Raw genomic sequence first — 17,660 nt, 5'->3', positions numbered from 1 at the left:
CATTTTTTGCCCATTAGTCTACTCTTTTCATCGTTATGAATTAGGATTATTATAATTTTTATTCATTCAATATTTACTCATATATACTTAGTATGTACCTATATCTTTACTAACATTACCTCTGTAAGTCTCCTACCTTCCAGTTGCAATCATATTCCTTTTATGTGAAGCACTTCCTTTAGATTTTCCTTTAGTGAGTATATGTTATTGATAATTCTCTCACTTCTTTAAAAGACTTTCATTTTGACCAAATGCTAGCAAGATAATTTTCCTGCACTTGGAATTCTAGGTTAATAATTGTTATCTTTTAGTAGATTGAAGGTACTATTTTACGGTCTTATTGTTTTCATTGTTGCTGTTGAGAAGTCTGACATCAATTAAATTACCGGTAATTTAATAATGTGATTATTTTCTAGATGTTTTAAAAATCTTCCCTTTGTATTTGGAGTCCATAGTTTTATTATGGTATGCCTAGTTGTAATTATTTTTTTAATTTATTCTCCTTTGAATTATTTGGGATTACTGGATTTTAAGATTGGGCTCTTCAAAAATTCTGTTAAATTCAGGCTGCTATAACAAAATATCACAGACTGAGCAGCTTACAAAGAACAGAAATGTATTTTTCACCTTTTGGGAGGCAGGAAAATCCCTGATCAAGGCACCAGCAGATCTAATGTTTGGTGAGTACCCATGTTCTGATTTATAAATGGCCATCTTCAAGCTACAATCTCACATGGTGGAAACAGCAAAGATCTCCATGGGGCCTCTATTAAAAGGGCACTAATTCCATTCAGGAGGGCTCTGTCCTCATGACCTAATCACCTTCCAAAGGTTCACTTCCAAATGTCCTCACATTGGAGATTGGGTTCAACACATGAATTCTCAAAATACACCTGTCCCCCTTATCCTAGTACCAAGATCAAGACAGAAAAGTTTCCTTGCTATCTTCTTCTGTGACAGGACTTCTTTCTCATTCACCTTTATATAGGCTACAGTCCTTTGAAAATCCAGCTTTTTGTTGAGATCTCATATTAGCTTCCCTACATCTGGCCAGCCAGCTCTAAGTTTTAACTTCTGTTCTCTGTGCTTCAGGCAGCCTTCAAAGAAGAAACTCCAGGACACAAGAGTTCAACATAAACCCTCAGGATGAAAGCTAGACTGGGTGTCCACTAAACTCCCATGGGTCCCACTTTCACTTTATTGTGGTACTGTTTGGATTCCTTGTTGTGCGTGTGTGTGTGTGCTGGCCCCAAAGTGCATTTAAACAGATTTTTAGAAATATTTTTATCCAGCATCTTATTGTTTCAGTAAGAAGAGTTGTGCTCAGGGTAACTAATCCATCATACTAGTAAAAATGGAAGCCTCATCCTGTCTTCTTAGTGAGAGAACCTGGACCATAAATTGACATGTATAAAACATTTGCCTTAATGATTTAATTCAATGTGATTCATATGACTACCCCCCATAGCTCTCCCTAAAAACAGTCTTGTCTCCCACTCTCTTCTATCACAAGTACCAAAGATATCCTTTGATTCGTTATAATGACCATTGTTTTGCAGAATCCACTCACTTCGACAGAGGAAAGAGGAGGAGCTTTGCTGTCAGGCAAACCTTGTATCCTGGTACTACCATTTAGTGTCTGAAACAAACTTTTCCCACCTTAGACTAATCCATTGAAAGAGGTATTGTGGCTACATAGTAACACAGTAGTTGCTCACAAATTGCAGCAAATTGTGTAGCAGTAGGCTCTGCATTTGTTTATATATTTAAATATATCCTTTTTAAAGAACCAGACCAACAGTTCTTCTTCACTATTTATTGAGATTTAATAACTGAAGTTTAGTAACTCATTTTGTCTTCAGAACATTTCTGCTACTTGCCTGTTAATTTCACTTCATTGCCCAACATCTGTGTATAGAATAGGATGCTCTGATGGGATAGTTACGCTTTGAGGTTATATAATGTCTATCACAGGAGAAAGTTTGCTGTAATTTTGCCCTTTCCTTATCCTGTGTTAGCACACTGATGTCGGCAAGCAGATTCAGTTCCTTAGTCTACCACCAGATTTAGATCATAAGCCTGTATGACAAGAAGCATGCCTTGTATAACCAAAGAATGTGCTTATTATATATATGCCCAGTGGCATTGTACTAAGATTTATAAAATATGGTTTTACAACTCAATCTGCTAGGGGAAGTTATAGTCACACATATAAAATTATAGCTCCACATACACAATTATAAACTACTTAAGGTAGTTTATTTTTGGTTAATAATAAAGTACAGCACAGACTAAGGAATGTATGATAATGTTTGAAGCATAAAGACATAAATTAAGAGAGCCTTTTAAAAATCCTTGGGAATTAATAAGTAATTAGTTAACTCACTTTTGAAGTATATGAGCAATAGTAAATAAATAAATAAATAAATTTGTTTATTTGGGAAAAGGTTCGGTGGGGGGGAAGGAAGACATAAAACAAACACAGGGATACTAATTAACCACTTAACAGTAGAAGGCATTTATGTACAATCGCTATAAGCCACCTCTGTTCAATTTCCAAGACATCACATTTAAGTGGAAGGCAACTTAAAACCATTTTATGATCATTCCATTTCAAAATGAAGAAACTGAGGACAAAAGAAGATTACTAGAAAAATGGTCTCAGAACCCTAATCTATCATTCAAGTTCCAAAATTGTAAGACAGAAAATCTTATTAAAATTTTATTGACATACTGGTCAATGAACTAAAATGTATTCTGGAGCTCATTTGTTTTTGTCTTTTTTGTCTCTCCTACACATATTCACAAGAAATTCTTCATCAGTTTAAAGGAGAAAAGGCTACGATTTTAAAGAGTGGTATGATATGAAGAGTCACTTTTCGTTTAAGTGTTCTATGCATTGATTATTTCAACAATAGCTAACACTCTTTTAATTCATCTTAGAAGACTCTTCCTACTTAATTAAATACAATTAATGGTATAGTAACTCAGTCCATAATTTAAGGACATCTGAATGATAGCAGCGGAAAACTGATGTGAAAAAATTCAGTCCACTGATGGATACAGAATATATTTATGTTAGTTTCCCAACAATATATAACTTAATCCACAAAGAGAACTGGAATAATCATTGCATCAGCCACATGTAAATTTTATATTCTATGTCTAGGCAATCTTGTTGTTAAATATAGGAGAGATAAAGAAAAAACTCTTCACAACACTTGCAGTACTTGGCTTATTACATGCTGCATCTATGCAAAGAGGAGCCATTGTCCTGTCACTTCCTGCACACCTCCAGGAGAGTCTTTCTTGACTTGAGGACATCCCTAAGCGTTTTCACATTCTGATATACCAATATCATATAGATCTGAGGACTTGATCCAAATTATTCTCTACTAGTGGAATTAAATTCTCAAGTTTATGACGTTGAGTAGAAATTGCGGAAAAGAAATAAAATAGCTTTTTCACTTCACTATCATTTCTTGTGAAATCATTTCAGAGACATTAATGTCTCCTGCTTTGCTCTCGAAGCAAAAGCAATTTTTAAAAATGTCTCAGCACAAACATATACTCACACACAGAGAGTTTTGAACTTTCATCTGTTTCAAAAGAAACATCACAGGGGTGGCACAATCACTAAACATTTTGGTGGGTGGACAAATGTTACTTTTAGGTTGGCTCCAAAAGTTATCCATGACCCCGCCCTTGCATTCTGGGTGGGCACAATCTAATCACATGAGGCCTTAAAGTGAAGAACTTTTCCTGGCAGTGCTCAGAGAGTGAAGGCAGTATGAGAAGGACACAACACTATCTCCCTGCTGGTTCTGAAATGTAGAAATTATGTGCAAAGACCTGCCAGAGGCCTCAGGAAGGTGAAAAAGGCAAAAAAATGGATTGCTCCCGTAAGCCTCCAAAAAGGCATACCGTCCTGTAAACATCTTGGTTGTAGCCCAGTGGGACACCTGTGTTGGAACTCCAACCTATAAAACCATAAGAAAAGCACATTTATGTTGTTTGAAGCCAATACGTTTTGTGGTAAATTGATATGGTAGCAATAGAAAACCAAAACAGTGCCTCATCCCCACAAAAACCTTGTGAGGGAGAGAAAACGGGTGATAGCTCCCTTTTTTAGTTGAGAGAATCAGTGCTGAAACAATCGACAGAACTTTTCAAAAGTCCATCTCCCAATAGGTTGTGGTGTTAGGCTGTAAAGTCTGCCTTCTAAGTCCAGATCTATTGTATTGCTCCTCAAACTCATCTCACTATGAAAGAGGTGTCGAGGCCACACGGATTTGTTTCAACTCCTCCCAAAATAGGTCATAAAACTTTTAAGACAACCAGACCATAAAACACAGATAGAGGGATAACTGAGTTATGAGTTGTGGAGGTAGGCTGGGCATAATCTCAGGTGTAAAAAATTATCTTGTTTTGGAGAAATGTCTAGAGACCCAGTGTTGCTGGCCCCTTCAAGAAGATTTGGGGAGGTCACTGATGCTGATGTGAGTCAAGTTGGGTGATACTGAATGGCATGATGACCAATATGATATATGCAATAGACAATGGAGAGACATCAATGTCTTTTGAACAAGAATGAGGTTGATCAGACATGTGCATTTAAATGATCAACCTAGTGGCACTGTGGGGGAAAGAACTGCAGTAAGAATGGACTATAAATAAGAATCCCCGAAACCATTGAAACACTATCTTATTAGTTCCCTTAGCTGCAATAATAACAGAAACTATGGTTAAAACAGAGAAAAATGCCAGTTTTGAGACACTAAAAACAAAAACCGCTTTGAGGAGGGGTGCTGAATGTAAAATACTGGGAAGAAATGACATTTCATCATCTGAAACTACATTTCATAATCTGAAACTTCTTTTGTGAGCATATACCAGGTACTCTGTTAAGAAGCTTATATATATTTTATCAATAGTTAACATTCAGTAAGCACCATGTCTTGGTTCCACTTTAAGCAACTTATGCGTATCATGTCATATTTGCCTTATAACAAATTTATAACATACATACTCTTAATATGCCCCTTTCACAGATTTGATACTGAAGTATAGAAAGGATGTGATGCATGTGAAAGATAACAAATCTATTAAATTAACAAAGTCTAGATTCAAACTCAGAGCTATCTGAGCTGAAAGTCCCAACAATTAAACTATAGAATGTTCGTCCAACTCCTGACACAATGATATATTCCAGTTTGGTAAAAGCTTCTAATTTCAGAGAAAGTTAATTTTATTTTTCTGAATATCAGTTACTGAAGCACTGATATTTTTTACTCTGGTTAATCTGCATCTGGGGGCAATATAAGTTCAAGCTGAAGAGTAATCAACATTTTTTTTCTTAGCAAATGAAAATAGTCTAGTAACCTGTAGTAGCTAAACTACAAGATTTGAAGCTAATGAAACCATAAATATATATATAACACTCCTGTGGATTCCAAATTCTATGCTAAATTAAGTCAAAATGCTAAAATTATGGAATTGGCATAAATTGCCAAATATTATTTCTCCCAGAGTAGGATTCTTTAAATATTCACTAAGCTGCTGAGTATCTTTTGAATCAAAGAACATTTACGATACACTGAAGTGCTAAAATGTGATGTGTATGAGCTAAAGTAATAAACCAGATGGATTAAATGTCTCTCAAAATACTATCTGGTTTAAGAGATATGGAGAACACACTTAGGTGAAAAAAGAACATAGGAAAATGTCACTAGGGTTGGCCAAGCGCAAACACCTGAGAAATAGCTAGAGACATGTTCCCAAACTAAAAATGCACCAGCTTATCTCTCTCTAATTAATGCACCAAGGAAACAGAACTTCAATTAAACTATACTTTGAGGATGGAGCCAACATGCACTAGGAATATATATAAGTGGCTGAGTTGTGGATTAAAAAATACTGAGCAAAATTTCTAGACAAATGAAAATATTTTTGAGATAACCATGGTAAGCTCAGAAACTAATGGAAATTATCTTCCACTAGTGAAAATATATTTTAGTATTCCTTCTCTACCCTCCAAAATTTACTACATATATTATCCTTAATTCAACAAGGTATTTATTTATTTATTTATTTAGAGTTAAGTATCCTGTAAAGTGTCAAGGAAACAACAGAAAACAAAAGTAAGAAGGTTCTAGTCCTTACGGTGCTTAAGTTTTTGTGTTTGAGGGGCAACATGGTAAATTGTTAGAATGCTCCTGATTTACTTTAGTGGAGTGGTGGTGGATACCCGTTTGTATTTTGGAAAGTTGAGTAATGTCTATTATTTAGGTATATCATCTCGGCTGAACTTTTAAATACAAAGAGCAGCAATAGTGGTAGATTGGTCGGCTGACTTAAGCTGTTTGACAAGCCATTCAGTTGTACCTGCAGATAAGATATCTTTTACATATACACCATGGAATACTATGCAGCCATAAAAAATGATGAGTTCATGTCCTTTGTAGGGACATGGATGAAACTGGAAATCATCATTCTCAGTAAACTATCGCAAGAACAAAAAACCAAACAATGCATATTCTCACTCATAGGTGGGAATTGAAAAATGAGATCACATGGACACAGGAAGGGGAACATCACACTCTGGGGACTGTTGTGGGGTGGGGGGAGGGGGGAGGGATAGCTTTGGGAGATATACCTAATGCTAGATGACGAGTTAGTGGGTGCAGCGCACCAGCATGGCACATGTATACATATGTAACTAACCTGCACAATGTGCACATGTACCCTAAAACTTAAAGTATAATAAAAAAAAAGAACTAATTAAATTATTAAAAAAAAAAGATATCTTTTACAGAAAGAAATCATTTCTATTGGCTAGGTAGTTGATTTTTCTCAAGGAAACTGATGTGAATGCCTCCATAGCCATGAAAATAAAGAAGATTCCAATAAACAAAAGGCTCAAATTATTGTCATTATAAACAACAAGATATACAAAAGACTCATAATATTTTGGGAAATTAATAATAATTTGAGAACAAAATTTGACATGTGATTGTAATATTTCCTGTATATAACGTGGTCACTTTGTGGACAACATCTACTATAGATAAGAAAAGTAGTGACAGTCAAATTAGAGTTGCTGAAAACTTCAGCTTATCCAATGATCTAGGATTCTGATGTTTGGTAGCAGAGAAAGTGCAGGGAAAACCAAATAAATACTGAGGAATCATACAGTTTTCCACACATAATTACTACAAAACCATAGGTACATTTATGGAAGGCCATAGTTACCAACAATCTTGGTGATTTGAAGATCCATATGGATGACATTTCCAATACATTGGCTGCCAAATTCCTCAAACTTCCCAGTTCCAGCATCTTCCTTCTTTTTTTTTTTCTTTCCTTTTTCTTTGAGACGGGGTCTTGTTCTGTCACCCAGGCTGGAGTACCGTGGCATGATCTCGGCTCACTGCAACCTCCACCTCCCAGATTCAAGTTATTCTCTTACCTCAGCCTGCCAAGTAGCTAGGACTACAGGCATGTGCTACTATGCTCAGCTAACTTTTGTGTTTTTAGTAGAGATGGAGTTTTCTTAGGTTGGACAGAGTGGTCTCCAACTCCTGGCCTCAAGTGTTACATCTGCCTGGGCCTCCCAAAGTGCTGGGATTACAGGAGTGACCCACTACACCCAGCCAACCAACATCTTCCTCTTCATCTTCCCCTCTTTACCTCCTGTTTCAGAACATGTCGTGATTGTTTTGAAACCTACTTCTGTCCTTCCACCTTTCTCAACAGATCTCTTATGACAAATCTGTGCTTTTACTCACTTTTATCTCCTTTTACTCCGCCCTTGGGTTTTTTTTTTTTTAATTATACTTTAAGTTCTGGGATACATGTGCAGAACCTGCAGGTATGTTACACAGGTGTACACATGCCATGGTGGTTCACTTCATCCATCATCCCGTCATCTGCATTAGGTATTTCTTCTAATGCTATCCCTCCCCTAGCCCCCCAGCCCCTGACATGCCCCCGTGTGAGATGTTCCCCTCCCTGTGTCCATGCGTTCTCATTGTTCAACTCCCACTTATGAGTGAGAACATGCAGTGTTTAGTTTTCTGTTCCTGTGTTAGTTTGCCGGAATGGTTTCCAGTTTAATCCATGTCCCTGCAAAGGACACGAACTCATCCTTTTTTATGGCTGCATAGTATTCCATGGTGTATACGTCCACATTTTCTTAATCCAGTCTAGCATTGATGGGCATCTGGGTTGGTTCCAAGTCTTTGGTATTGTGAATAGTGCTGCATAAACATATGTGTGCATGTGTCTTTATAGTAGAATGATTTATAATCCTTTGGGTATATATCCAGTAATGGGATTGCTGGGTCAAATGGTATTTCTGGTTCTGGATCCTTGAGGAATCACCATACTGTCTTTCACAATGGTTGAACTAATTTACACTCCCACCAACAGCATAAAAGCATTCCTATTTCTCCACATCCTCTCCAGCATCTGTTGTTTCCTGATTTTTTAATGATCACCATTCTAACTTGCATGAGATGGTATCTCATTGGGGTTTTGATTTGCATTTCTCTAATGACCAGTGATGATGAGCTTCTTTTCATATGTTTGTTGGCCGTATAAATGTCTTCTTTTGAGAAGTGTCTGTTCATATGCTTTGGCCACTTTTTGATGGGGCTGTTTTTTTCTTGTAAATTTGTTTAACTTCCTTGTAGATTGTGGATATTAGCTCTTTGTCAGATGGATAGTTTGCAAACATTTTCTCCCATTTTGTAGGCTGAATGTTCACTCTGTTGATAGTTTCTTTTGCTGTGCATAAGCTCTTTAATTAGACCCCATTTGTCAATTTTGACTTTTGTTGCCATTGCTTTTGGTGTTTTAGTCATGAAGTCTTTGCCCATGCCTATGTCCTGAATGGTATTGCCTAGGTTTTCTTCTAGGGTTTTTATGGTTTTAGGTCTTATGTTCAGGTCTTTAATCCATCTTGAGTTAATTTTTGTATAAGGTGTAAGGAAGGGGTCCAGTTTCAGTTTTCTGTCATATACATTTTCATTTTTATTATGATAGTACTTTTAAAAAAAATATATTAAATAGATTTTACAAGGAAAGGGTCTAACAGTGGAGGGATTTATAGTAATTTCTCCAGTAGAAAGCTTTTCTCAATTATAGGAAACACGAGAATGAAAAAACAAGGGTGCATATGGCTAGCCAGTTTTCCCAACACCATTTATTAAACAGGGAATCCTTTCCCGTTGCTTGTTTTTGTCAGGTTTTTCGAAGATCAGATGGTTGTAGATGTGTGGCATTATTTCTGAGGCCTCTGTTCTGTTTCACTGGTCTATATATCTGTTTTGGTACCAGTAGCATGCTGTTTTGGTTACTGTTGCCTTATATTATAGTTTGAAGTCAGGTAGCGTGATGCCTCCAGCTTTGTTCTTTTTGCTTAGGATTGTCTTGGCTATATGGGCTCTTTTTTGGTTCCAGATGAAATTTAAAGTAGTTTTTTCTAATTCTGTGAAGAAAGTCAATGGTAGCTTGATGGGAATAGCATTGAATCTATAAATTACTTTGGACAGTATGGCCATTTTCACGATATTGATTTTTCCTAGTCATGAGCATGGAATGTTTTTCCATTTGTTTGTATCCTCTCTTATTTCCTTGAGCAGTGGTTTATAGTTCTCCTTGAAGTGGTCCTTTACATTCCTTGTAAGTTGTATTTCTAGGTATTTTATTATCTTTGTAGCAATTGTGAATGAGAGTTCTCTCATGATTTGGCTCTCTGTTTTTCTATTATTGGTGTATAGGAATGCTTGTCATTTTTGCACATTGATTTTGTATCCTGAGACTTTGCTGAAGCTGCTTATCAGCTTAAAGAGATTTTGGGCTGAGACGATGGGGTTTTCTAAATAGACAATCATGTCATCTGCAAACAGAGGCAATTTGACTCCCTCTCTTCCTATTTGAATACCATTTATTTCTTTATCTTGCCTGATTACCCCAGCCAGAACTTCCAACTATGTTGAATAGGAGTGGTGAGAGAGGGTATCCCTGTCTTGTGCTGGTTTTCATATGGAATGCTTACAGCTTTTGCCCATTCAATATGATACTGGCTGTGGGATTGTCATAAATAGCTCATTATTTTGAGATACATTCCATCAATACCTAGTTTATTGAGAGTTTTTAGCATGAAGGGGTGTTTAATTTTTTTGAAGGCCTTTTCTGCATCTATTGAGATAATCATGTGCTTTTTGTCATTGGTTCTGTTTATGTGATGGATTATGTTTATTGATTAGTGTATGTTGAACCAGCCTCACATCCCAGGGATGAAGCTGACTTGATCATGGTGGGTAAGCTTTTTGATGTGCTGCTGGATTTGGTTTGCCAGTATTTTATTGAGGATTTTTGCACTGATGATCATCAGGGATATTGGCTTGAAATTTTCTTTTTTTGTTGTGTCTCTACCGGGTTTTGATATCAGGATAATGCTGGCCTCATAAAATGAGTTAGGGAGGAGTCTCTGTTTTTCTAATGTTTGGAATAGTTTCAGAAGGAATGGTACCAGCTTCTCTTTGTACCTCTGGTAGAATTTGGCTGTGAATCTGTCTGGTCCAGTGCTTTTTTTGGTTAATAGGCTATTAATTACTGCCTCAATTTTAGAACTTGTTATTGGTCTATTTAGGGATTTGACTTCTTCCTGGTTTAATCTTGGGAGGGTGTATGTGTCCAGGAATTTATCCATTTCTTCTAGATTTTCTAGTTTATTTGCATAGAGTTGTTTACAGTATTCTCTGATGGTAGTTTGTATTTCTATGGGATCAGTAGTGATATCCCCTTTATCATTTTTTATTGTGCCTATTTGATTCTTCTTTCTTTTCTTCTTTATTAGTCTGGCTAGTGGTCTATCTATTTTTTCAATCCTTTCAAAAAACCAGCTCCTGGATTCATTGATTTTTTGAAGGTGTTTTCGTGTCTATATCTCTTTCAGTTCTGCTCTGATCTTAGTTATTTCTTGTTTTCTGCTAGCTTTTGAATTTGTTTGCCTTGCTGCTCTAGTTCTTTTAATTGTGATGGTAGGATGTCGATTTTAGATCTTTCCCGCTTTCTCCAGTGGGCATTTAGTGCTATAAATTTCCCTCTAAACACTGCTTTAACTGTGTCCCAGAGATTCTAGTACATTGTGTCTTTGTTCTCATTGGTTTCAAAGAACATCTTTATTTCTGCCTTAATTTCATTATTTACCCAGTAGTCATTCAGGAGCAGGTTGTTCAGTTTCCATGTAGTTGTGTGGTGTTGAGTGAGTTTCTTAATCCTGAGTTCTAATTTGATTGCACTGTGGTCTGAGAGACTGTTTTTTATGATTTTCGTTCTTTTTCATTTGCTGAAGAGTGTTTTACTTCCAATTATGTGGCCAATTTTAGAATAAGTGTGACGTGGTGCTGAGAAGAATGTATATTCTGTTAATTTGGGGAGGAGAGTTCTATAGATGTCTATTAGGTCTGCTTGGTTCAGAACTGAATTCAACTCCCGAATATCGCTGTTAATTTCCTGTCTCATTGATCTGTCTAATATTGACAGTGGGATCCTGCCACTATTATTGTGTGGGAGTCTAAGGCTCTTTGTACATCTCTAATAACTTGCTTTATGAATCTGGTTGCTCCTGTATTGGGTGCATATATATTTATGATAGTTCGCTCTTCCTGTTGCATTGATACTTTATCATTATGTAATGCCCTTCCTTTTTTTATCTTTGTTGGTTTAAAGTCTGTTTTATCAGAGACTAGGATTGCAACTCCTGCTTTTTTTTGTTTTTGCTTGGTAAATATTCCTCCATCCCTTTATTTTGAGCCTATGTGTGTCTTTGCATGTGAGATGGGTCTCCTAATACAGCACACCAATGGGTCTTGACTCTTTATACAATTTGCTAGTTGTGCATTTAGCCCATTTACATTTAAAGTTAATATTGTTATGTGTGAATTTGTTCCTGTCATTATGATGCTAGCTGGTTATTTTGCCAATTTGTTGATGCAGTTTCTTCATAGTGTCAACGGTCTTTACAATTTGGTATATTTTTGCAGTGGCTGGTCCCAGTTTTTCCTTTCCATATTTAGTGCTTCCTTCAGGAGCTCTTGTAAGGCAGGCCTGGTGGTGACAAAATATCTCAGCATTTGCTTGTCTCTAAAGGATTTTATTTCTCCTTTGCTTATGAAGCTTGGGCTGCACCCACTGTCTAACCAGTCCCAATGAGATGAGGTGGGTACCTTAGCTGCAAATGCAGAAATCACCCGCCTTCTGTGTTGATCTCGCTGGGAGCTGCAGACAGGAGCTGTTCCTATTCAGTCATCCTGTTTTCCAAGCTATATTTTAACTTCTATTGCTTTTATATTTAAAAACCTCCTTTTATATGTTAGCCTCTAAGAATGTGACTTCTATTTTTCCACAACATTTCAAAAATAGTGTATATTACTGGCTCCCACATTTCCTACTTGTCTGAAATCCTTCAACCTATTTTAGCCTTGTTTCTCTTTTTCCTACTTTATTAAAATAGCTTTCATGAAAGCAGCCAAGAACATTAAAAAGTATAAGATTATATATTTTTAATGTTTCTTTTATTCTTAATTCAAAACTTTCATCTTGAAAGCTCCCGTCTCTCAATTTTGTCTCACATATTTCCAGGATTCCCTTTTCGCTATTCCTGCTCCTTCCTGTTTTTCTTCCCCCCTGGCTAACCTTTATCCATCTACCCCCTCAGATGTCAGAAAAATGATGAGGTGGTGCTGAACTCCCAACCCTTTTTTCCCTACTCTATCATTTGTTCTGTTTTATCTTATTCCACAGCTTCAACTCTCACTTCTTTGAAAATGACTTTCCTAAATAAGTCTCTGCATCGTGTTAGTTCTCTTGTGCTATACATTTAATTATCCTCTGACCACATCTTATGGATGCCCTCATGACACCTCAAAAACCCCTCCACTCAAAGAAATCACATCATCTTTCTATCATCTTTCTCCTCAGTGTAACTGCTCTTCTGTGCTCCCTATCATAGCATTACCTTTCAGTTGGTTATCAAGCTGAAAATACCAGGGTTATCTAAGAATCCTCTTCTTGCCTCATACATTCAAGATATTGCTATACTGGACATCAAGGACCATAATGCTTAATGCATTTTACTACACTTTCCTAGTATTTTTATTTCCTTTCTTCACTCACTCCTGTTTCTGAGGAAGAATATTCTTACTACCTTGTGAATGCTATACTTCACTGGAAAGCTGTTCTTAAAATACATACACATACCAACACACAAATACACAAATCATTCACACTAATCTTCTTGAGTACAGTTCTTTCAATTATACTTTCTCTCACTAACACTTTGTTAATTTCTTGTCCTATCATTCCTTTGTATAACAAAATTAAACAAAAGAGAAATGCTTTCTATTGCCCCTGCTTACTAACTAGCCACTCATTTCTTGATAAATTCCAGATCCTCTGTTTCAGGCTCTCTCTCTCAAAAAAAACAAAAACAAAAACAACAAAAAAAAGTTATCCCTAGAGCCATTACTGGCTTCCAGAACAGTATTATCTAACTTTTCCAAGTCCCTCCTTCCTCAATTGTTCTGTGGTAGTTCACGTTGCCAGTTATATGCAAGTTTCCTAAATTCTATGACCTATTTCCACAATATGCACTCACCTGCTGATTCTACTAGATTTATATCTGCTTCTTTACAGACTATTCTTTCCTATTTTCTGATGTCGGTATTGTCAGAGTTCACACATTTGAACTTTTGTCTTTCCATAGTATGTCTCAATGATCGTCGGTTCCCTTGATTAAACTAGAATACTTATGTGAATTATCCAGAATCTTAATTTTCCTTGATCCCACACACCCAACTTCTTGCCAAAACTGAAGAATTCAATGTGTGCAATATTTTATATGTTCCTTTTTTTACATTGCATTTTCAGTGCCACAACCTGTCTTTCTCCACATCAGAGGAATCTTTTAAAAGCACTCTTCTCTTAACATCTTATTAATCTTTTCCAATACCTTTAGTGTCTTCCTATTGTTTACCAAACTAAAGACAGGTTTTTCTTCTTCTCCCTAGTGTTCAAAATCTCTCAAAACCTTTCACATGGAAGCATCTATGTTTACCACCATCCGAGTTGCCTTTTATACTAGCCCTGCCCAAACCAGATTGTTAAAATACAGTTGCCTTAGACAAAACCAAGGAATCTGGATATTTAATAAGCTTTCCAGATGATCACTCTGAGCATTCAGATTTGGGAAACATTGACACATAGTTTAACTCCAATTTACTGTTCTGGCCTCATTTGCATTATTTCTTTATTCACATCCTTCATTCTAGAAACATTTTTAGACCTACAGATCATTGAAAAATTCAGTGCTATCCATACTCAATATCATCACTCATATTGTTCCCACAACTTGGACCATCCTCTGCCCTTTCTACAGCGATGCCACTTCCATCAATATTACAATGCCTTCCTCAAGTGTATGGGCTCCGACCCACACGTGACCTCTGCTTGTTTTGACTTTGAGAGAATACATGTTCCATTGTCATTGCATTCATTGTACACTCCTTTTGATTACAGCACAATCTATATTTTAATTCTTTCATGCTACATTATAAGCTTCTTAAAAAAGACATATACTTTATTACATATCACATAGCATACTGCCTTGTTTACATTATTTAATAATTGTTGAGAAAAATGGATTTAATAGAGTTAACCCATTCACTCAGATAGTCACTTAAATTTAAACATATTAAAATATAGTCTTTACTAGATGTTATCCAAGAATGCCACTCAAGACCTCAGTGAGAGGAAAAGGACAGCAATTTCCCTAGAAACATTTTATAACTACATATTTTCTGCCTCTGTTATGGTTTTTAAACTTTACTGCATTATAATGGCACAGAACAGGCTATATAAAAAGAATCATGAAAAATTAAATAGAAAAAAAAATAAAAACTAGGCCAGGTGCAGTGGCTCACTCATGGAATCTGAGCACTTTGGGAGGCTGAGATGGGCGGATCATGAGGTCAGGAGTTTGAGAACAGCCTGGCCAACATGGTGAAACCCTGTCTCTACTAAAAATACAAAAACTAGCTGGGAGTGGTCACGGGTGCCTGTAATCCCAGCTACTTGGGAGGCTGAGGCAGGAGAATCGCTTGAACCTGGGAGGCAGAGGTTGCAGTGAGCTAAGACCGCACCATTGCACTCCAGTCTGGGTGACAGAGTGAGACTCTGTCTCAGGAAAAAAAAAAACAACAAAAAAACAAAAACAAAACTAAAATTTTACTCCAAAACTCACCATTTCCATCAAAAATATATATTTTCCCTCATATGCAAAATTTAAAGCTGCAGCTCTCCATCTGTCATAAGTTATGTTCCTTATTAGTATTATAATCTTACTTTCATAATGAATACCACCAAAATCTAAACTTTACAAAACTATTAATAAAATGAAGTGATGTTGTCTTTAATGCATTCAGCAATTCAATAAATAGGATGTATACCATCTTCTTTATGTTTATTACTCTGTATGGAGACATGAATTCAGATTATTGTAAAGCTTTTGGAAGGTAAGATGTTTTCCATAGAAAAGGGGTGAAATTCTAAGCCAGAATTCAGCTTTCATATGGAATAAACAAATGTACTTTTTCCAAAAAGTGAAGATAGATGAAGCACATGGTTTTGACCTTCAAGATCTGTAAACCTCCATAAGCTAAAGTATACTTATTTTTATTGGTGTGTAGATGAAAAGAAGTAAGTGAAGATTATAGAACAAATCATACTCTGTCCTTTAAGCTTTGGCCAGAAAGTAGGAGACAGATGGAAAATTCCATTGTGTGCTTTCTCTGCCACCTGTCACCATCTGAATGGTAGCCAGCATTACAACTATACCTTATTAAGTTGCTTGATGGAAAAATTGGCACTACTAGGGGAACTACTGTTCTTGAAGTTAATGAAACTTATAGCTTAGAAGAAGTATAAAAATACACACTGCACTTGGGAGGAAAACTTCGCACTATTCATTTAATCAACAAAGTATCGATACAACTTTTTTGTTAGTTTTAGAATATTATTTAGAATCTGTGGGAGGCTACTGAGCTGATTGTGCAGTTAGTAAATCCTACATGGCCAGATCCTACATAAGCTTAAAATCCCAAGTAGACAACACCGATGGAGGATGAAGAAAAATATGTAATAAAATTGAACATAAAGTATGTTAATGGATAATATTTTATCAGTACATACAGAGACAAGCATTAAATCCTATATAGTATGGTGGTTGTAATCCTAGGACCATGATGGGCAATTGGCTAAATAGGAAGAGATAAATAAGAATATGGTTTCTATATTTATAAAGAGCATATTGTATGCATACTAGAATTTAGCACTTGAAAATGTGCCCTAATTGAGCTCCCTAGTGGTTTCACTTGGAATTATTCTTTTCTCCCTACTGGACACCACCAATAAGGTCTTTTACAGTGTGTTTAAGGTACAACTAGCATAGTGTGGGATCCAAATGGATTATTCATAAAGTTTATGTTGAATTAGATTATTTTCCTGGAAATGACTGTGAAAGAAATAGTATTTTAGGAAAAATTGCATAAATGGAGGAAGAAATAAAATTTTAGGAACTGTAGCATTGAAGTGTCATGTTCAGATTCAATGATGCTTTAGAGACAAAAATGGTAAGACAATCTTGATGCTGAAAAGTAAGTCTGCAAAGACTTCCAAGAGTAAATAACTAGACAACAGAAAGAGCTGGAAAGTGAGAGAATTGGGGTGCCTTGATAAATGTCTGAGGTACATAGATCCAAGGACTAAATTTCAGGATAATTTTGAAGAAGGGAATGATCTACAAAGCCTACAGCATAGACGAGCAGGTGGATAATATTGAGAACTAATCACTCAAAAGCAAACATGGGTTGATTACTAATGGGGGAAAACATTATAAAAACACAGATAAATGGTCATGCTATCTGTAAGATTTTGGAATGTTCGTATAGTATAGTGATCACACATAACCTAGCATATTGACAGGTAAGCTTTAGAAGATTTCATTCTTGTTACTGCAGAATTTTTGAAGAATCCCATTCTTTCTCTAGACATCACATGTTATGTAATGTCCCTAGTAGACATCACATAAAAATGAGTCACATATTACAAAGGTCCTGAAAGCATAAAGAAATACATCTATATGTCATCAATGTATAACATATCTTAAAGTTTGAAGAGTCAAGATGCCTTATGTGGGCACATTTTCACCATGTTTTCTTAAATGTGAGAGTGAATTTGAGGAAAGGAAGACAAGGAAAAGGACCAAGCATAATCCCAGCTCCCTTCCAAAGCCATGGAATGGGAAGATGGTTTGCAGACAAGATTTTAGTTATCTTGCTTTGGCAGCATCACTGTCACCATCAGGGCTCACCATAGGGAACTGAGCTGGGACACCTGGATACACAGGTGGGAAAGAGCAAAACTCACCAACTTGCTAAAGGGGCAAGCAATGGCGACAGCCAATTGCATTTCAATGCTAGTGCAGAAAATGTTATGATAGAATATAATTATGGTTTGTAAAGAATTATCAAGAAGTAAAATTCACATATAGAGTGAACTTCTGTTTTTTTTTTTCTCTAAAAGGTAACTTTGTC

At 36.2% G+C, this 17,660-nt stretch overlaps 1 protein-coding gene across 9 annotated transcripts in view; it reads right to left on the bottom strand.

Moving 5' to 3' along the window:
* The window catches only part of NKAIN2 (sodium/potassium transporting ATPase interacting 2), a 1,021,776-nt gene that overhangs the window by 574,774 nt on the left and 429,342 nt on the right, over nucleotides 1-17,660 (bottom strand). The gene's annotated exons all lie outside the window — the stretch shown is intronic.

Source organism: Homo sapiens, chromosome 6, assembly GCF_000001405.40.
Source record: "Homo sapiens chromosome 6, GRCh38.p14 Primary Assembly".
Taxonomy (NCBI): Eukaryota; Metazoa; Chordata; class Mammalia; order Primates; family Hominidae; genus Homo; species Homo sapiens.
This window is presented reverse-complemented; position numbering and strand designations above follow the sequence as displayed.